This window comes from Homo sapiens, chromosome 5, assembly GCF_000001405.40.
Source record: "Homo sapiens chromosome 5, GRCh38.p14 Primary Assembly".
In the NCBI taxonomy this organism is placed as follows: Eukaryota; Metazoa; Chordata; class Mammalia; order Primates; family Hominidae; genus Homo; species Homo sapiens.
Window position 1 is genome coordinate 56,112,129 of NC_000005.10, and position 22,189 is coordinate 56,134,317.

A 22,189-nucleotide genomic window follows, 5' to 3' on the forward strand; every position below is an offset into this window, starting at 1 on the left:
ATCTCAAGGACAGTCAGTAGGCACGCAAGTTGAAGTCAGAGATGAAGCCTAAGGGTTTGAGTTCAGGCTTCAATGAGCAGAAGGATGGAGGAGGTTGCTGAGGTGGGGGGAATGTGGTTTTAGGCTTTCTCTGACAGAGATCCTAGAAAACCTGGACCGAGTGCTGACCGACTGACATTATCCCCCTCAGAGACCCCTCCCCATTTTAAACTAAAACTTTCCTATCGAAAAGTACTTTTAAAAAAAGTATGCTGAAGAACAGGTACGGTGGCTAATGCCTATAATTCCAGAACTTTGGGAGGCTGAGGCAGGAGGATCACTTGATGTCAAGAGTTTGAGACCAGCCTGGGCAACATGGCAGGATCTCATCTCTAGCAAAAAAAAAAAAAAAAAACAACCAAGGAAAGAAGCTTTAGTCTGGGCTCCAGCGAGGGAAGAGGAGGAGTGCATGACCAAGGTCGGGCGTGGCTGCAGAAGAAAGTGAGCAATGCCCAATGCGCAGGCAAATTATAAAGGAAAAAGGCCAGCAGTTGTCGAGAGGTTCCCTGAGGCAAGATTCTGTTTGTGTTCCTTAGAAAATTCTGTGTGATTCTCTTTTGAGGCTCCAATTGACTTAATGCTTTCTGCGGTATGAATTAACGATGAAACCTGACCCGTGTGTGTGCCCCTGAGTCAGATTGCAACACTACTTTCTGGAGTGAGATATCGCAATCTGCAATTTGAAAAACATCACCACTTATTTTGGATGCATATAATGAATGTTTTCTCTACAGGTCACACAGTGCATCCTTTGAATTTTTATTCCATGATGTAGTCTTATCTTTATTCTTTCACCTTCCAATGGGCTTTTTGAAATACTGAATTCTAGACTCCTAATACCACCAGAGAGAGAGCCCCAGGGCACTTCCGACGCTCAAGTTTCCCTATAAAGAATATGTCTGTGTGAATTGATGCTATTGCAGCATCTTGTGTAAGCCATCTCCTCCTCCTGTTACAGCTTGTGCTTTAGGCCTCTGGGTCTCAAAATGGGGTCCACTGAACCCTTGGAGAGGGATCCCCGACTTTTTAAGGGGTTTATGGCATTAAACTCTATTCATAATAACATCACAACGTTATTTGTCTTTTTCACTGTGCTGCCTTGCATCGATGGTGCAATAGAGGTGGTGGGTAAAATGGTGGCTGCCTCAGTACAAATCAGGACAATAGTGGCATCAATGTACTTGCAGAAAAAAAAAGTCCTTTAACTTAATAATGTCCTTGTTTAGGGAGTACAAGTTATTAATTTGATTAAATATTAACTTGAGTACACTTGTTTGACAAAATAAGAAGCACTCGTAAGCAATTCTACTATATACGGAGGTGTGATGATTGTCTTGGGGTAAAGCAGCTGTGCAATTGTTTGAGTCGCGGGCTGAACCGGACACTTTTTTCACGGAACACCATTTTTATGCCTTGCAGACAAACTGTGGTTATGTAGAGCTAAGTATTTGCAGAAATTTCTGCAAAATAAATAAAGTGAAATACACAGAAACAGAGAGTAAAACAGTGATTACCAGAAGTGAGGGTGAGGTGGGGGAATGGGAGGTGTAGGTCGAAGGGTACAAAGTTGCAGTTGAGTTCAAGTATTTCTCGTGCTTCAGCCTCCCAAGTGTCTGGGATTACAGGTGCATGCCACCACGCCCAGCTAATTTTGGTATTTTCAGTAGAGATGGGGTTTTGCCATCTTGGCTAGGCTAGTCTTGAACTCCTGGGCTCAAGTGATCCACCCACCTTGGCTTCCCAAAGTGTGGAGGTTACAGGCGTGAGTCACTGCGCTCGACCCATCTGACTAGGTATATTTATATCAAAATATGTATACTATATATATATATATATATATATATATATACAATAAAAATATATTAAAATGAATAAAGTGGGCCAGGCGTGGTGGCTCACGCCTGTAATCCCAGCACTTTGGGAGGCCGAGGCGGGTGGATTACCTGAGGTTGGGAATTAGAGACTAGCCTGACCAACATGGAGAAAACCTGTCTCTACTAAAAATACAAAATTAGCCAGGGGTAGTAGCACATGCCTGTAATCCCAGCCACTCTGGAGGCCGAGACAGGAGAATCACTTGAACCTGGGAGGCAGAGGTTTCGGTGAGCCGAGATCGTGCCATTGTACTCCAGCCTGGGCAACAAGAGCGAAACTCCATCTCAAAATAAATAAACAAATAAATAAAATAAAACGAATACAGTGAATATTTCATTTCAAGATAAATAACTGACAGTTATTGTAGCCAATGACAAAAGTCTAGCTTTCAAGCAAAAACTAGAATTTTGGAAAACTTATATTCACATTGTAAGCTTGACACCATCTCAGTATATAAAGCTTGTCCAATAGATTGGTGGTGATGTTAACAAATGTGACTTTTTGATATTGTATAATGAAATGTGTCATCTGGAAGATCTTTATAATTAAGTGAACCAATATTTTCCAAATGACCAATGCAAGGTGTTAATAAAATCACGCATGTGTATAAGACCCATTTAAAGTATAAGGTATAGTAATGTATTCTAATGTGACAGAGTACAAAAAATTCATTGATATGGTGAGAATCCACATTGCAATTAACCTTTAAGAAACTGCTGCTTGTTAAGTTTTGGTATCGTATCAAAGAAAAATACACACAATTATCTGAAAAGCCTATTGAGATACACCTGCCTTTTCCAACTACGTATTTATATAAGGCTGGATCGTTTTTATATACATCAATCAAAACATGATACTGTGGCTGGGTATGATGGCTCACACTTCTAATCCCAGCACTTCAGGAGGCTAAGGTGGGAGGACTGCTTGAGGCCAGGAGTTTGAGACCAGCCTGGGTAGCATAGTGAGGCCATCTCTACAAAAAAATAAAAAACCAAAAAACAAGAAAACCCAGCTGGGCATGGTGGCACATGCCTAAAGTCCCAGCTACTCAGGAGGTTGAGGTGAGGGGATCGTTTGAGCCCAAGAGTTCAAGGTTGCAGTAAGCCATGATTATGCCACTGCACACCAGCCTGGATGACAAGTGAGACTCTGGTTCTAAAAATAATAATAATAATAAATAAATAAATAAATAAATAAGCAAACCCCCAAACCAAAAAACAAAACACATTACATCGCAACAGAGAGAATGCAAAGAGTAGATGTGGAACCCACTTTATTCTATTTTTTTTTTTTTTTGAGACGGTCTTGCTCTGTCATCCAGGCTGGAGTGCAGTGGCACTGTCTCGGCTTACTGCAACCTCCACCTCCCAGGCTCAAGCGATTCTCCTGCCTCAGCTTCCCCAGTAGCTGGGGTTACAGGCACGCACCACCACATCTGGCTAGTTTTTCTGTTTTTGGTAGAGATGGGGTTTTACCATGTTGGCCAGGCTGGTCTAGCTGAACTTCTGACCTCAGGTGATCTACCCGCCTCAACTTCCCAAAGTGCTAGGATTACAGGTGTGAGCCACCATGCCCAGCCCGCAGCTGTATTCTATTAAGCTTGTATTAAGCTACCAAAGAGAGTTGCCAAAAATATAAAACAATGCTGCTCTTCTCATGACAATATTTTTGTTTTGGGAAATAGAAATATTAAATAAAACATTTTATTTTTAATTAAAATATGCTATTTATGTTCTCATGTAAATGTAATGTTTATTATTAATTTAAATGGATAACAATGCATATTTTATTAAAAATTTCTCATTTTAATTAATTAATTAATTTTTTTTTGAGACGGAGTCTCACTCTGTCACCCAGGCTGGAGTGCAATGGAGTGATCTCGGGTCACTGCAAACTCCATCGCCCAGGTTCAAGCTATTCTCTTGCCTCAGCCTCCCAAGTAGCTGAGATTACAGGCACCCACCACCATGCCTGGCTAATTTTTGTATTTTTAGTAGAGGTGGGATTTCACCATGTTGGCCAGGCTGGTCTCGAACTCCTGACCTCAGGTGATCCACCTGCCTCAGCCTCCCAAAGTGCTGGGATTACAGGCATGAGCCACCGCACCTGGCCGCTCGGTTTTAATTTCTAATGCCATAAATATTGACGGGTTTGACTCTCATAAACTAAAGTTATCTGGGGGCCCTTAATAATTTTTGAGAGTGTAAAAGGGTCCCGAGAACGAAAGTTTGAGACTCATCAAATTAGGCAAAAGAGGGATTCAGAGGATTTGCCAAAAAGGGAAGAGGAAAGAGAGAAAAGGAAAGAAGAGATTCAAGTTCAGTGAATATTAGGCTGATGGATTTGGATTCACTACTATCATTTTGCTCCAAGAGCACTTTATTCTGTGTTAGATAATGGCAAACGTTAATTATAGAATCATTTAATGTCTTTAATACTATGTAACATTAATTATATTATAAAAGTATAATAATATTATTATTGGTTTGCACCTTGGCAATTTAAAACATTTCATCCAAATTTATAAATAGTTGAGAAGAATAGAAAAATAACTGGCTCCTGTTGTACTCACCTGCTCTCTTGGGAGAGGAGTTTGACACACGCCGTGTGACCGCAGTACAGGGCATAGGCCAAGGGCGTGCTCTCATTGATGTCCCGCAGGTTGCTGTCCATTCCCAACTCCAGCAGTGACTGGACACATTCGGCCTTCCCTGCAGCTGCAGCCCAGTGCAGAGGTGTCCTGGAGGGGCCATGTGAAAAAAGCACAAGCGTCTGAGCATGTGAATTGTTCAGGCTGCTTAGCCAGCAACAGCTCCTGCTCAAAGTCAGGTTGAGGTAGGGAAAATCTTGTTGCCATTTACAGTATAGAAATAGTAAGTGTTAAATGAGCCCGAAGGATGATGGTGGACATGTGTAGGGGCCTCTCCTCTAGCTCTAAGTATTCCCTGCCATCTACACTCTCTGGCCTTTCTAACAATTTCCTAGAAGAGGAAGTAGTGGGTCAAAGGGTATGAACAGTTTTGAGGTTCTTTATACATAGTGCCAAACTGCCTTCCGGAAGATTGAGTCAATTTGTCCTCCTACTAGCTATGTTTCTCCTCCTTCTGTAATACTGAGTATTGTCACTAACTTTAAAAATCTTTGTCCATTTTGGTAGGCAAAATATGCTTCACTGTCATTTTCCTTTTTATTTAATTTATAGTAAGGTTTGAACTTTTGAAATATAAGTTTGTTTGCCATTTGAGTTTCTTCATTGAAATGACTAATGCCTTTTGTCATTTTTCTATTAAAGTATAAGTGTTTTTCTTACTAATTTGTATGTGCTCTTTATATTAAAGGCATTGGTCTTTTATAGGTTATGTTTATGAAAACATTTTCTGTAATTTGTTACTTGACTTTTAATTTATTTTTATTTTTATTTTATTTTTTGAGACAGAGTCTCACTCTGTCATCCAGGCTGGAGTGCAATGGTGTGGTCTTGGCTCACTGCAACCTTCGCCTCCCAGGTTCAAGCGATTCTCCCACCTCAGCCTCCTGAGTAGCTGAGATGACAGGCACATGTTACCACACCCGGCTAATTTTTGTATTTTTAGTAGAGACGGGGTTTCACTATGTTGGCCAGGCTGGTTCTGAACTCCTGAACTCATGATCCACCCGCCTTGGCCTCCCAGAGTGCTGGGATTATAGGCGTGAGCCACCATGCCTGGCTGACTTTCAATTTTTAAGTGATTTTTCTATAAAACTTAAAAAAAAATCACATTTAATTCCTTATTCATTTTTTCTTTCTTTCATGATGTTATGTTTAAAAAGTCCTTCATGGCTAGGCACAGTGGCTCACGCCTGTAATTCTGGCACTTTGGGAGGTTGAGGCAGATGGATCATCTGAGGTCAGGAGTTCAAGAGCAGCCTGGCCAACAAGGCAAAACACTGTCTCCATTAAAAATACAAAAATTAGCCAGTCATGGTGGCATGTGCCTGTAGTCCCAGCTACTCAGGAGGCTGAGGCATGAGAATTGCTTAAACCCCAGAGGCAGAGGTTGCAGTGAGCCGAGATCATACCACTGCACTCCATCATGGGCGACAGAGCAAGACTCTGTCTCAAAAAAAAAGAAAAAAGTCCTTCATTGGCCAAAAGGTATAAAAATATTCACCAGTATTTAAACCTTTATTAAACTGTATAACCAGTGTTTTCTTAAGAGAATAAAAAGACAAGCCATAGGCTGGGAGAAAATATTTGCAAATCACATAGTCAACAAAGTATTACTAATACTGGTAATTAGTATATAAAATCTTTCAGAACTGGCTGGGTGCGGTGGCTCACACCTGTAATCCCAGCGCTTTGGGAGGCCAAGGCAGGTGGATCACAAGGTCAGGAGATCGAGACCATCCTGGCTAACATGATGAAACCCCGTGTCTACTAATAATACAAAAAATTAACCAGGCATGCTGGCGGGCCCTGTAGTCTCAGCTACTTGGGAGGCTGAGGCAGGAGAATGGTGTGAACCGGGGAGGCAGAGCTTGCAGTGAGCCGAGATCATGCCACTGCACTCCAGCCTGGGCAACAGAGCGAGACTCCATCTCAAAAAATAAATAAAATAAAATAAAATAAAATAAAATAAAATAATAAAATCTTTCAGAACGGAACAATAAGAAAATAAACCAATTTTAAAAATTAGCAAAAGATCAGAATAGACATTTCGTCAAAGAAGATATATGGATGGTAAATAAGCACATGAAGAGGTACTCAATAACATCTGTCATTAGAGAAATGCAAATTAAAACCACAATGAAATACCAATACACACCTATGAAGATGGCTAAAATAAGAAAAACAAACAAACAAACCAAAAAACCCAAAGAGAACAAAGCTTGGCAATACCAGGTGCTGGTGAAGATATGGAGCAACTGGAACTTTCATACATTCCTGGTGGGAATGTAAAGTGGTAAGAGCTGCTCTGGAAAATAATTTAGCAGTTCCTTCCGAAGTTAAACACATACTTATAACCTACAAATCCCACTTTTAAGTATTTTGCTGGAGAAATAAAAACTTACATTCACAGAAATAATGGTACACAAATGTTTGTAGAAGCATTATCATAATTGTCAAAAACTGGAAACAACTCAATGTCCTTCAGTGGGTGAATGGACAAACAAACTGTGGTTCATCCTATTCCAGTAGTACTGGAATACTACTCAGTAGTGAAAAAGAACAGACTGCTGATACATGCAACAACATAGATGAGTGACAAATGCATTCTGCTAAGTGAAATAAATCAAATAAATCAGTCTCAAAGGATGACCTACTGTATATTTCCGCTTACATGACCTTCTGGAAAAGGCAAAACTATACAGACAGATAACTATTGAGTGGTTGCCAGGGCTTAGGGATGGGAGAGGGCTTGACTATATGGAAGGACATGAGTTGATGTTGGAGTTGATGGAATTGTTCTGAATTCTGTTTGTGGTGGTAACATGAATTCATGCATGTTAAAACACATAGAACTGTACACCATAAAAGTAAATTTTACTGAACGTAAATAAAAAGAACACCAGTATTCTAGATTTATTTGGTTTAAAAATAAAAAACCATGGCTGAGCACTGTGGCTCATGCCTGAAATCCCAGCACTTCGGGAGGCAGAGGTGGGAGATTGCTTGAGCTCAGGAGTTCGACACCAGCCTGGGCAACATGGCAAAACCCAGTCTCTACAAAAAAAATATAAAAATTAGTTGGATGTGATGGGTACGTGCCTGTAGTCCTCGCTTCTCAGGAGGTTGAGGTGGGAGGATTGATTGAGCCTAGAGAGGTTGAGGCTTCAGTGAGCCGAGATCCTGCCACCACACTCCAGCCTGGGCAATGGAGCGAGACCCTGTCTCAAAAAACAAAAACTAAACAAACAAAACCTGTGTGTGTGTCTATATGCGTATTTTGGTATGTGCAGTGAGGTCAGAGCCAATTTGACTGTTTTTGTAATTACATAGCCAACTTTTCTCAACACCATTTTTTTTTTTTTTGAGACATAGTCTTGCTCTGTTGCCAGGCTGGAGTGCAGTGGTGCAATCTCAGCTCACTGAAACCTCCGACTCCCTGGTTCAAGCTATTCTCCTGCCTCAGCCTCCCGAGTAGCTGGGATTACAGGCACGGGCCACCACACCCAGCTAATTTTTGTATTTTTAGTAGAGACAGGGTTTCATCATGTTGGCCAGGATGGTTTCGATCTCCTGATCCGCCGTCCTCGGCCTCCCAAAGTGTTGGAATTACAGGCGTGAGCCACCGCACCAAGCCCTCTTAACACCATTTCTTCATGTGGTGGGATTATATTTTAAGATCCTGATCTCTATACATATTTTCTACCTCGCCTCTTTCCCCTATTTAAGGGGATGGTTGACTTTGTGCTCAACCTCAGGGGAGGAATATTGCAAAGTCAGGAAGGGAAAAGTATTTTTGCTTTCAAAAGCCAAGCTTGGGACTGAGAGCAACTTCAGAGCAAAGGGAAAATACTTAACTAAACATCTGAATGGAAATGGCTCCCCCAGCACTGGAAAGGTGGTCCCCCTTCAATGGACGAGGTGGGACAGCTGGGCATGGTGGCTCACACCTGTAATCCCACCACTTTGGGAGGCCAAGGCAGGCGGATCACGAGGTCAGGAGATCGAGACCATCCTGGCTAACACGGTGAAACCCTGTCTCTACTAAAAATACAAAACATTAGCTGGGCGTAGTGGCACATGCCTGTAATCCCAGCTACTCGGGAGGCTGAGGCAGGAGAATTGCTTGAACCTGGGAGGCAGAGGTTGCAGTGAGCCAAGATCGCGCCACTGCTACTCTAGCCTGGGCGACAGAGGGAGACTCCGTCTCAAAAAAAAAAAAAAAAAAAAGATGGTGTGACAAGAGCATAAAGGACCACTGGACTCAGGAGCAAAGGGGTCAAGAACCTTGCTTCACTAGCAGAGATACTAGGAGCGAGGGATGGGGAATGTCTGTGGTTTGTCTAGGCAATGGGACCACAGGCAGGCCAAGATGGCGCCCGTGCCCAAGCACAGCACTGACACAGCTGAACATCATCTGACCTGAAGGGATAAGGACAGAAGACGAGGGGCCATCCTCCATCTCTATTCCTATACACCCATTGTATAAAATTCCAGAACCAAGGCACACACAATAAGGCAAGTGGGGTGGGGGGCTTTAAAAGACGAGTTTAGGTTTCCTACTAATCTAGTGAGATAACTCAAAAATAGAAATTAGGTTAAATTATAGATAAAAATCATTATAACTTTTAAAACTCTGGGCTGTAAAATAACATAAATACTTGATATAGTAAGTGTTCCACCACTTTTTTTTTTTTTTTTTGAGATGGAGTCTCACTCTGTCACTAGGTTGGGGTGCAGTGGCACAATCTCGGCTCACTGCAACCTCCGCCCCTGGGGTTCAAGCGATTCTCCTGCCTCAGCCTCCCGAGTAGCTGGGACTACAGGCGCCCGCCACCACACCCAGCTAATTTTTGTATTTTTAGTAGAGATGAGGTTTCACCATGTTGGCCAGGCTGGTCTCGATCTCCTGACCTCGTGATCCACCCGCCTGGGCCTCCCAAAGTGCTGGGATTACAGGAGTGAGCCACCACACCCGGCCAGTGTTCCACCACTTTTTAAAAAAGATTGTATGCTCCACGTGGGAGGGGAATGGGAGCCTTTCACTCACTGTGTGGTTCTGGCACATATAGAGGCTCCCAACAAGAAGGTCGAATAAATTGGTACTTTTGTGATACTGCTTTCTTTATTGTACCAAAGACAAAATAATTCTGGGTAGAATTAGACCCTGAATTTTTTTAACTCTGTGAGTAGAAATAAGAATTTCCACTATTCATTTAAAGAGCACCTACTGTTTTCTAGGAGGTCAAGGCTTGGCTTTGTCTTGGATGAAGGACTCTGCCTGTGTTTTGGTAACCTGTCCCAGTGGGTTTTTAAGTGTGCCTAATGTACAGCAAATACTTCGATCTAAAACAGAAGTTTGAGAAGCTGAAGCTTAGCTGAAGCATATAAAAAGTCAACTTGCTGGGAGATAGAGTTGCATCTCTGAAGATTATGTTTACTCTAAAAAAATGTTTCTTAAGTGTAGATTTATAGCTGCTCTGTGCCTATGCATTATTATTTTTGGAAGCTGTGGACTTGTAGTAGCTTAGGCAGTTGCCAGCAGGAGATCAGAGTTTGAGAGCTTGGAGGTGGCCTAAAGACGATTAGCCCTGGCCATCAGGTCATCCTGGAAAATACTGTGAAAAGGTACTGGACGTTTGATTCTACACATAGTTGTATTCAAGATTGAATAAACTAGGCCAGGCACGGTGGCTAACATCTAGAATCCCAGCACTTCGGGAGGCTGAGGTGGGTGGATCACTTGAGGTCAGGAGTTCAAGACCAGTCTGGCCAACATGGTGAAACCCCTAATCTACTAAAAAAAAAACAAACCCAAAATTAGCCAGGCATGGTGGCGCACACCTGTAGTCCCAGCTACTCGGGAGGCTGAGACAGGAGAATCGCTTGAACCAGGGAGGTGGAGGTTGCAGTGAGCTGAGATCGTGCCACTGCACTCCAGCCTGGGTGACAGGGTGAGACTCTGTCTCCAAAAATAAAAGATTGAATAACTATATTTTGGATTAAGTACTGATGTCACAAAACTATGTTCTGATTTTTTTCTGGGGGTGTAGGGAGAGGCAAAGGGCAAAGGGCAAGTTGACATTCCTTTTTTGAGATACGGTCTCACTCTGTCACCCAGGCTGGAGTGCAGTGGTACAATCACAGTTCACTGCAACCTTCACCTCCTGGGCTCAAGCAATCCTCACATGTCAGCCCCCTGAGTAGCTGGGACTACAGGCATGTACCACTATGTCCGGCTAATGTTTGTATTTTTTGTAGAGATGGGGTTTCGCCATGTTGCCAAGGCTGCTCTCGAACTCCTGGGCTCAAGGGATTCATCTGCCTCAGCCTCCCAAAGTGCTGGGATTACAGGTGTGAGCCTGGCCCACATTCCTATGAATGGGGTCTTCTGTGCAAAGAATGACTATCCCTCTGGTAAGTCACTCGGGAAATGGGCAGTCCTGGGGCAGGAAAGGAGGTCATGGAAGACCTCTCCTCAGCCTTGTGCAGGGCCTGAACCTTGGGCAGAAGGGCACTTCTGAGAGGGCCAGGTGGTCTCTCAGGCCTGGAGGCAGCCTGGCAGCTGGACAGAGAAGGGCTGGGTTGGGTATATCTGTGAACGGGGTTGGACATGAGTATTTGGAGAGCATATATGTATGTATATTGTGTGGCCCCAGAATTACCAGGTACAGATTGTATCTTCTGTCAATTAAACACCTTTTTCCTGTTATGCTAGAAGCAGCAATTTTATAACACGTAATAGGGCCATGTATTTTTCAACACAGTGATCAATCACACTGCATATTTGAATGTGGCAGATGTGATTAGTTCCATTCTATGTGAGAGAGGTCTCCAGGAGACATTTATTCTGAAACAGGACGGGTCCCCAGCAGATTATGTCCTCCCATTTAGACAGTGTATTGCCAATAAATTCAGCAGATGGAGGGCTGGATGTTGATCTAGTCAGGCTTACCAACATGTGATGATTCACTCAGAAGCTTTGTGAAATACTCCTTCATGACAATTACTAAGACCGACTGTTTAAATTCCTCTGACCATCAACATGGAAGCGATCCAGAAGAACAGGGTTTTGCTGAGTAACGAGGGGAGCATATAGATAATCTCTAATATACTCATGTCCTTGGGGCCAGTCTGTGGTACCTAATTTCAAGTTGTCTAAACTTTAGCTCCTTCTTATCTCTAAGCTTCAGGATGTCCTGCAAACACAGCCAATCTGCCTCAGCTGTCACAGCAGGGGGCTAAAGGGCAGGGCCCATGATTCAGAAGGAATTCAGCAGAGACAAGAGTGGGCGGATGTGGTGGCCGCTGAATGGCAGGAGATAATGGGTCCAAGGATGCAGCGTTGGTTGAGCTATCAGTGACTGAGGAATGATTAATGAAACATGTAAACATTCCCCAGAGAATTCCCAGAAATACACAGAGAGCAGGACTTGGTAACAGACTTTCCTCTCTGAAGACAAGTAAACTGCATATTAAAGCGGACTGTGACCTCATAGACTGATGAAATTTGAAACACTTAAGCTACATATGCTGCTTCTGGGTTATGTGTTCTGTGTCATATCTTAGGTAAGTACTACAATGTTTTAAGTACCATAGACTTATGATGTGTTTTACTATCTGGGAGGCCTAGTTCTTCATATTTTCCTTCTACCTCTTTTTATTACTACTTTACTTTTCTTTCCTTTTCACAAAAACTTTCAATAGGAAAAACTTTCACTAAAAAAGAGAAGAAGGAAAGGGAAATCACAATTATTGTAAATACTTAAAGCACATAAACCTGTGCAAACTTTGAAAAATTAAACTATTTATTTTTGTTTTTTTTAATTTTTTTTTGAGACGGAGTCTCGCTCTGTCATCCAGGCTGGAGTGCAGTGGCACAATCTCAGCTCACTGCAACCTCTGCCTCTCAGGTTCAAGCAATTCTCCTGCCTCAGCCTCCGGAGTAGCTAGGATTACAGGCGTGCGCCACCACGCCCGGCTAATTTTTGTATTTTTAGTAGAGACAGGGTTTCACCATGTTGGCCAGGTTGGTCTTGAACTCCTGACCTTGTGATCTACCTGCCTCAGCCTCCCAAAGTGCTGGGATTATAGATGTGAGCCACTGTGCCTGGCCCTGAAAAATTCAACTATTAACAGAAGCTTATAGCTTCAGCATGAAGGCAGAATTTCATGTTTTGCTGCAGAAAACGTGGAAAAAAATGGAGGCTAGGATTTGATCAGTACATGAGGCCTCTGAATTGAGTACTGGATTGGAAAGGACTCTTCTGGATATTTTACTTCCTTTTGAACTCTCCTTATCTTTGTACTTTCTTTTTTCCCCTTAGTTTTACTTTCCACCATGAGGCCTAGAGAATTGGATTTTCTTTGCTAAGTGGGTGGTATTGCAAAATGGGAACTATTCTGTTCAAAGCTGGTTCTAGGAGTGTTTTGAAGTAGATGAACTTTCCCTCAGCCTGCCTTTCTGAAATTTGTTCTTTTTTTAAAAAATGGTTAATTCACTTTTTTCCTAATGTAGCTTATGTTCTTCTACTTTCTTACTTGCTTAGGATCAACATCTGCTCTTAGGAAAACACTTACTTTTTTCTTTTTTCTTTTTTTTTTTCAGACAGAGTCTTGCTTGCTTAGTAACCCAGGCTGGAGTGCAATGGCGCGATCTTGGCTCACTGCAACCTCTGCCTCTTGGGTTCAAGCGATTCTCCTGCCTCAGCCTCCTGAGTAGCTGGGATTATAGGTGTCCGCCACCACACCTGGCTAATTTTTGTATTTTCAGTAAAGATGGGTTTCGCCATGTTGGCCAGGCTGGTCTCAAACTCCTGACCTCAAGTGATCCACCCATCTCGGCCTCTCAAAGTGCTGGGATTATAAGTGTGAGCCACCACACTGGCTGGAAAATGTCTACTTTCAATGATTTATACTTTAATTTTACTTAAAGTCATTTAACCATCTCCAACTTCTGAGACCTATGTAGAACTCCCCATTTTTTCCCTGAGTTAAAAGAATTTCAGGTATTAATAGAGAAGATTAGCGTGGCCCCTGCGCAGGGATGACACACAAATTTGTGAAGTATTCCATATTTTATAAAATAATTTTTAAAAAAAGAATTTCAGGTATCTGGGAGTAGGAGGTGCTTTCTTGGGGCATCTAAAATTATGATAAGTAGGCTGGGCACGGTGGCTCACGCACGTAATCCCAGCACTTTGAGAGGCCGAGGCGGGCGGGTCACCTGAGGCCAGGAGTTCAAGACCAGCCTGGCCAACATGGTGAAACCCTGTCTCTAATAAAAATACAAAAGTAAGCTGGGCATGGTGGCAGGAGCCTGTAGTTCCAGCTACTTGGGAGGTTGAGGCAAGGGAATCGCTTGGACCTGGGAGGTGGAGGTTGCAGTGGGCTGAGGTTGCACCACTGCACTCCAGCCTGGGCATCAAAGCGAGACTCCATCTCAAAAAAATAGATAAAATAAAATAAAATAAAATAAAATAATTACAAGTAAGGGGCTAATTTTGCACTTCAATACAAGAGGATAAAGAAACCAGAGTGCTCAAGTCTATACTTATTTTTGATAGTCTTGTTTGTTGTTATATTTTTCTTACATTTCCATTGACTCAGTGCCTAACCAAAACAGTTTAGATAAGCAGGGCATTATAGATGAAAAGCTACAAGTTTGAAAGACAGGTGTACAAATCTTCATTTAGTATCTAACTAGCTCTGACAGAAGTCTTTTTACCTTTTTGGACCTAGCTTCCTTTTTCAGACAATACATCTTTGATGATCGAAAACAACAACAACCTGATACAGTTCCTTGCAGTTCTAAAAGCCCAATAGTCCAGAATACAAAGTCTCTATTATGTTCTTCTCTGGATAAAAGAACTTGTGGACTTTATAACATAATCCAAGAATGAAGAAAAAAAAAACAACCAAAACCTACCTTTAGGAACAAAGAGGGCACATAGCAGGAAGCTGAAATACAGAACGTCTTCTGAGAACACAGAGAACATTTAGCAAAAAGTGGAAAATCTGACAACACTGTACAGTCGCAGTCTTCCTCTCCATAACAATAATTTTTTCTCCTCTCACTAAAATAGAGCAATTTTTATTGTCACAAGCCCATGTGTATTACTGGCAATAGGGATATAGCTGTATAGGACACCTCCTTAAACATCTCCTTTATTTTAAGATTCAGTTAGGGGGAAATGACTAGTTTCCCAGCACTTTCTGGTTACCATGGATACCTGTCATCCACATCCAGAGCCTGCAGGTTACACTCAGGGACTCTTGCCAGCTCATGAATAATATCGCTGAAGCCCGCTGCCGCTGCGATATGTACACATGTCTTCCCACTCTCATCATCATAGTTGATTATGGACGGCCCCTGGTGATGGCTCAGAATGATGGAGCACAGAATCCTATTTCCACTCTGGAAAAGAGAGTCAAAGAAAGCCCATTATGTACAATCCAGTGTTCTTCTCTGTCTAGGCATGTTAAGATAAAAATACAAAGGAAAAAAAGGAAAGAAAGAAAGAAAGAAAAAAGATGAAAAGAGAAAAGGAAATGGAAAAAAAAGAATAAAAATACACTCTATCTAAGCTCTCCAACAAGTGTCCACTTGTCTCAAGTCACTGCAGAGATTTTTGTCTCCCACAGGAGCTAAATTGTCTTCCATAACTAGTGAACGAAGGATGGATTGAAATTAAATACAGGTGCAATGGACTGACGTCAGAGCTAGAGTGATCGGTGGGCCACCTAGACAACAACTTGCTCATTAGGTCTGATCATTTGTGTCCCCATTTGCTGTAGAGGCTGACCACCAAGAAACTGACAGAGTTCATCTTAATGTTAAAGAAGTGACTATGATGAGTACTGATTGGTGGCGCAGTGATGCACTTAAAAAGCTTGTTTCGGGGTAGGGCCAAGGAGCAGGGGGCTGAGAATTTGTCCCAGGGAGCCTGGGAAGCAGAACTGTCTGAGCAGAGGCTACAGTCTTGTATCAGACTTCGTTTACAAAAACAATTAAAAGATAAAGTGAGAATTTCCAGATGGGGACTACAGAACATTATGCCTTAAGCACAGGGTCCCATCTGAGTACCAGACCCTCTGTGGCTGCACTGGTTACATATCCATAAAGCAATCTCTGGCTACAAACTTTTTCTTTCTCTTCCTATCATCTTCCCTTTTGCGTCTTCTTCCTCCATCCATCTTTCCTTTGTCTAACAATGATTTTAAATAACTTTGACCCATTGTTTATATTCTATGGCATGCCTGTCCTTAGAAGTCAGCTAAAGCTTACTTAGGTGACTTAGAAGTCACCTAAAGTTTAGGTGAGCACACCTAAGCTTTCATGCCTTTATCAACTTTTCTATGTTTGTTTCACTTCATGCTAGTTAGACATACATCGAAGGAGTCTGAAATACATTTTAGATAGTCAAGAGACACTTTTCTTTAAAAGCAGTAGCCATTCAATAAGGAAAATAGAAGCAAAAAGAGTGTCAGCACAACAATTCTTTTTTGTTTACAATTTCCTGGAAGAGTAAAGGAATTCAAGCTGTCAAGGTGGTTCAAAGGCCAAAACACCCTGTTCATAGTTTCCCCTCTTGGTAGAAGAAGAAGCATTAAGTGCAGATGGAGAAAACAAAACCCCACACTCGTACTCTCTTCCTTTCGCCTCCCTCGCCCCTGGGGTGGAGTCATTCTGGAAGTGGTAAACTGAAATAGAGGCTGCTGCTTCTGGGATCCTGCCAGCCAGTCCCAGGCAGCAGGTCTCTTGGTAGCTGGGGTACTGTTGACAGCCTCTCTGGATAAGTAAAGACAGACTCCATACCTTTACTCTTTTCCTTTTGTCCTAAATTCTCCAAACAATTCCTTTGTCTCTATACCTGAATCTCACTTATAGCACCATTGTTTGTATTTTACTTTTCTTTGTAAGAAGATCCTCCCAGGAAGAATGGTGACAACTGTATTTACTGTGTGATCGTCTGGGCCTGGCACCTTTCTAAGCCATTTCATGTACTAACTCATGAACAACAATCCCACAAGGTTGGTACTATTATTGTCCTCATATTGTACAGGAGACAATGAAGGCATAAGGGATTAAGAAATTTGCCCTCTGTCACGGCTGAGAATGAGCAGATCCAGGATTGACTGTGGAGGCATTGGACTTCACCACTATACTATTCTGTCTGTGATTAAAAAGAATGGTCTATTAATTTGATCCTGCATGTTCATACTGGAGGAACTAAAGTGAAAACTGTTTAGACCTACATCAGTACCAGTGACGTGTGCCTCACCAACTGAGACCTCCTTTACAGTTAATCTTTGGGTACTTTAAGAGTTTCTCCTAGTAAGGTTTCCATGGTGCACCCTCAGGAGAATTTCAGGGAGCCTTAGAAAACACTAGTTTGTAAGTCAAGGCCCTGGATCACTTGCCTCCTGGTGACAGAATTCCCTTCTTAACAATCTAGACTGTGTGTCAGCCAAAAATATGCTTAGGCCTGGGAGGTAGGGAAAGTCACAGAGACCAGGAGACACTAGACAAGAAGAAATGGGACTGTGGTCCAGGTGGGTCCTTAGGAAGAATCGAGAGTAGGTTTACATTGGGTAGAAATGTTATTAAATAGGGAAAGAAACAGTATTGTACATATCCTATTCTTAAGGAGCTCTAGAATTCTACACTGAGCTGCCAGATGATGATTGTGAGTTTGTTTTTGTTGTATTTATTTGTTTTTGTTCATGAGTAATCCATAACATTGCCTTCATGTATTCTGAAAATGATTGGGAACTGAGTCCTAGTCGTTTTCTCTTTACCTGTCATGAGTGGGGAGAGTTGGGGAAGCCTGACTCATAAGAAGACTTGCCAAGAAGAAAGTCGAGTTAATGTGTAATAATTTTGCTACGGGCAGATTGATAAAACAACAACAACAACAATAAGATCTCAATATCCTAACTGTAGACATTCTAGGTGACCTTCAAAGGAGTCTAGTGGGCGATTTAAGACTAGTTGCTTATTTGCTAACATATGTCTAAGGAATATGTTCTATGGTGGTTTCTTCTTGGCAGGAACTCCAATCTCCTTCCTTCTCTTGAACACTGGGATGTGTTTGCATTGCTTGTCTTGTGATGGTGACCATATAAAGCAGAGGCCAGTGCTTTAGCCTCTGTGTTGCAGCCGCTTATCCCTCCTAAAAAGCTGGGAGGTTTTGTGATGTGAGAAGATGATCCTGGCTCATCGGTTGGAGCCAGACATGTTAGACTAGAATGGAGACAAAAGGAACATCTAGAGTCTATTCCATGTGAATGTTTGAGGGTTGAGGGTCTGGGGCTAACTAGAGAAAGAAACGTGCCTAATATCCCTGGCTTAGAATCTGGACTGCCTTCATGGTTAGCCCCTTTGGACCAAGCTTTTAGTTGGCCTGGACTCCAGAGGCTGCCAAGCCCAAAAGCCTGGGGCTGCCTCTTCTGGAGAGAGAGCAGAAGATAGAAATAGTGGGAGGGGGAAAAGGTACCTTTTTTTAATATACCAGAGCACTCTGTTCTTCTTAATAAAGTCTGTCCTCCGGAGAAACTAGTTAACCAGAGCCTAATCTACTGAGGTTTTATCAGAGCCTAATTGACCTTAGGGAAGAAAAGTGTTCAACTCCATCTAGCTCTAGCTTTCCACATGGGAGCAGAACAATACCCAACTCCAGCCCACTCTAGCTATCCTGTCCCACCTAAGAAGGGGAAAAAACATCCTGAGAATCACTTGGAATATTCACATTCCAGAGGCATAGGTTCACTAAAAGACAGGGACCAAATCATAGGACGATATAGTACATTTCTCTTCCCCCCATACTTCACCATTACATTACTAAAGCGCTATTTACAGGAGTTCCTCTTACCCACTACATCATGTCTGGCTATCGAGAAAAAATTATAAAGCATGCCAAAAGGTGAATAACACAATATCTACAGAGCAAGCATCAGTTCCAGACATGGCAGGGATATGGGAATTATCAGATAAATAATTTAAAGCAACTATGATTAATGTGCTAAGGGCTGTAAATGGATAAAGTGGACAACATGTCAGAACAGATGGGCGATGTAAGCAGGAAGATGGAGATCCTAAGAGAGAACAAATAATAAATGCTGGAGATAAAAAACACTGTAATGGAAATGAAGAATGCCTTTGATGAGCTTATCAGTAGATTGGACACAGCTGAGGGAAGAGTCTCTGCGCTTGAGAAGATCTCAATGTAAACCTCCAAAACTGGAAAACAAAAAGAACAAAGACTGAAAAAAACAGAACAGAATATTCACAGACTGTGAGAGAACTACAAAAGGTGTAACATACAGGCAATAGGAATACCAGAAGGAGAAGAGAAAAAGGAACAGGATAAATATTTGAAACAATAATAACAACTGAGAATTTTACCAAAAAAATTGTTAGACACAAAAGCTCAGAGAACACCAAGCACGATAAATGCCAAAAACAACAAAAAAAAACAACAAAACAAACAAAAAACCCTATGCCTAGGCATATTATTTTCCAATTACAGAAAACCAAAGATAAAGAAAAAGTCCAGAAGGAAGCCAGAGGAAAAGAACACCTTACCTATAGAGGAGCAAAGAGAAGGATTACCTCTGATTTCTCAGAAACCATACAAGCAAGAAGAGACTGGAGTGAAATACTTAAAGAGTTGAGAAAAGCCTCCCATCAACAAGAATTCTGTACCTTATGAAACTGTCCTTCAAAAGTGAAGGAGCAATAAATACTTTCTTAGATAAACAAAAATTGAGGGAATTTGTTACTGGTAGACCTGCATTGTACTAGATGTTAAAAGTAGTTTCTTGACGGGTGCGGTGGCTCATGCCTGTAATCCCAGCATTTTGGGAGGCTGAGGCAGGTGGATCACCTGAGATCAGGAGTTCGAGACCAGCCTGATCAATATGGAGAAACCCCGTCTCTGCTAAAAATACAAAAATTAGCCGGGTGTGGTGGTGCGTGCCTGTGATCCCAGCTACTCGGAAGGCTGAGACAGGAGAATCGCTTGAACCCGGGAGGCAGAGGTTGCAGTGAGCCGAGATCGCGCCATTGCACTCCAGCCTGGGCAACAGAGCAAGACTCCGTCTCAAAAAAAAAAAAAAAAAAAAAAAAAAAAGTAGTTTCTTAGAAGAGAAGAAAAATGATATAGGCCAGAAACTCTGATTTACGTAAAGAAAAGAAGAACGCTGAAGAAGGAATAAGTGAAGGTAAAATAAAAACTTTTATTTTTTATTGTTAATTAACCTAGGAGATAATAGTTTGTTCAAATTACTAACAGCTACAATGTATGCTAATGCATCTATCTTTATATCTATATACATATATATAAGCTTATGTATGCTTATATATAAGTAAAATGAATGACAGCAATCATACTAGGGACAGGTGGAAGGAATTAGAATCATTTAGTTATTATAAAGTATTCGCACTACCCATGAAGTGGTATAGTGTTATTTTGAAGTGGATTTCGATTAGTTGTAAACATACTTGGTATACTCTAGGGCAATCACTAAAAAAGTAAAAAAGGAAGTATAACTAATATGCTAAGAAAAGAGAGAAAATAGAATAATACAAAATGCTAATTAAAACCACAAAAGGTGGAAGAAGAGTAGAAGACAAAAATAGGAACAAAGAATAAGGGCATGGGCGGATCACAAGGTCAGGAGATCGAGACCATCCTGGCTAACACGGTGAAACCCTGTCTCTACTTAAAATACAAAAAAAAAAAAAAAAATTAGCTGGGTGTGGTGGCGGGCGCCTGTAGTCCCAACTACTCAGGAGGCTGAGGCAGGAGAATGGCGTGAACCTGAGAGGCGGAGCTTGCAGTGAGCAGAGATCGCGCCACTGCACTCCTGCCTGGGTGACAGAATGAGACTCTATCTAAAAAAAAAAAAAAAAAAAGAATAAGGGCAGCAAATAGAAAACAGTAACAAATATGATCGATGTTACTCTAACTATATGAATAATCACTCTGAACATCAATGGTCTAAATGTACCAATCAAAAGACAGAGATTGTCAGGGTGGATAGAAAAATAAGACCCAACTATATGTTGTCTATAAGAAACCCACTTTAAATATAATGACACATATAGATTAAAAGTGAATGAGTGGTGAAAGATTTACCATGAAAACACTAACCAAAAGAAAGCAGGAGTAGCTATATATTATAATTCTAGACAGTGCAGACTACAAAACAAAGAAAGTTGTTAGGGATAAAGAAGGGTATTACATAATGATAAAGAGGTCAGTTCTCCAAGAAGACATAACGATCCTTATGTACCGAACAACACAGCCTCAAAATATGCGAGGCAAAACCTGATAAAGCTGCAAGAAGAAACAGATGAGTCCGCTTTATAGTTGAAGACTTCAACATCCCTCTATCAGAAATGGACAGATCCAGAAAGCAGAAAATCAGTAGGAATATAGTTGAACTTAAAAATACAATTAATTGGCCGGGCACGATGGCTCATGCCTGTAATCCCAGCACTTTGGGAGGCTGAGGTGGGCAGATCACAAGGTCGGGAGTTCGAGACCAGCCTAGCCAACATGGTGAAACCCCATCTCTACTAAAAATACAAAAACTAGCTGGGCATGGTGGTGCATGCCTGTAATCCCAGCTACTGGGGAGACTGAGGTAGGAGAATGGCTTGAACCTAGGAGGCGGAGGTTGTAGTGAGCCGAGATTGTGCCACTGCACTCCAGCCTGGGTGACAGAGGAAGACTCCGTCTCAAAAAAAAAAAAAAACAATTAATTAATTGGATACAATTGATGTCTACTGACTACTTCATCTAACAGCAAAATACACATTTTTAACAAGCTCACATGGGACCTTCACCGAGATAGACTACAGTCTGGGCCATAAAACAAACCTTAACAAAAGTGAAAGAATAGAAATCATACAATGCAGGCTTTCAGACCATGGTAGCATTAAACTACAAATCAACAACAGACAACTGGAAAATTTCTGAACATGTGGAGATTAAACAATATAAGTAACACATGGTTCAAAAGAAGAAATTGCAAGATAAATTAAAAAAATACTTTGAACAAAAGGAAGATAACATCAAAATTTGTGGGATGTAGCAAAAACAATTTCTCAGAAGAAAATTTACAGCTTTGAATGTATATATTAAAAAAGAAGAAAGATCTAGAATCAATTATATAAGCTTACATCTTAGGAAGCTAGAAAAAGAAGAGCAAATTAAATCCAAAATAAGCAGAAGAAAAGAAAAAATAAAAATTAGAGAAGAAATCAATGAAGTAGAAAACAGAAAATCAATAGAGAAAATCAATGAAACCAAAAGCTGGTTCTTAGAAAAGATTAATAAAAGTGATAAGCCTCTAGCCAGGCTAGAAAAAAACAGAGGGAAACAAATTACTTAATATCAGAAATGAAAAAAGGTACTTCACTACAGATCCCATGGACATTAAAAGAATGATGAAGAAATACTTTAAACAACTCTATTTTCACAACTTGATAACATATTTGAAATGGACCAATTCCTTAAAAGACACAATCTACCAAAACACCCACAAGGAGAAATAGATAATCTGAATACGTTTATGTCTATTAAAGAAACTGAATAGGCTGGGTGCGGTGGCTTACGC

At 41.4% G+C, this 22,189-nt stretch overlaps 1 protein-coding gene, 1 long non-coding RNA gene and 1 pseudogene across 3 annotated transcripts in view, besides 2 other annotated features; 2 read left to right on the forward strand and 1 right to left on the reverse strand.

The window, feature by feature from the left end:
• The window catches only part of ANKRD55 (ankyrin repeat domain 55), a 133,651-nt gene that overhangs the window by 12,449 nt on the left and 99,013 nt on the right, over positions 1–22,189 (reverse strand). For both annotated transcript variants that reach the window (NM_024669.3, XM_047417710.1), the window contains 2 exons: positions 14,794–14,978; positions 4,487–4,654 (listed from right to left, as the gene is read on the reverse strand). In NM_024669.3, coding sequence (NP_078945.2) covers positions 4,487–4,654; positions 14,794–14,978 — 353 coding nt within the window. The remainder of the gene's footprint in view (positions 1–4,486; positions 4,655–14,793; positions 14,979–22,189) is intronic.
• Positions 4,754–5,048: a silencer, noted in NCBI's record as "tiled region #6268; HepG2 Repressive non-DNase unmatched - State 5:Enh". NCBI's record gives its function as "represses a minimal TATA promoter and a strong SV40 promoter by Sharpr-MPRA in HepG2 cells {active_cell/tissue: HepG2}" and the evidence as "EXISTENCE:reporter gene assay evidence [ECO:0000049][PMID:27701403]".
• Positions 10,144–10,316: a silencer, noted in NCBI's record as "fragment chr5:55418099-55418271 (GRCh37/hg19 assembly coordinates)". NCBI's record gives its function as "represses an EF-1alpha promoter that drives an FKBP-Casp9 reporter gene in an ReSE screen in HepG2 liver carcinoma cells {active_cell/tissue: HepG2}" and the evidence as "EXISTENCE:reporter gene assay evidence [ECO:0000049][PMID:32094911]".
• On the forward strand, positions 11,973–19,328 carry LOC101928419 (uncharacterized). The gene is made up of 2 exons (XR_241794.2): positions 11,973–12,130; positions 14,303–19,328. It is a non-coding gene; the product is annotated as an uncharacterized LOC101928419 (long non-coding RNA).
• RNU6-299P (RNA, U6 small nuclear 299, pseudogene) lies at positions 13,543–13,642 on the forward strand (annotated as a pseudogene).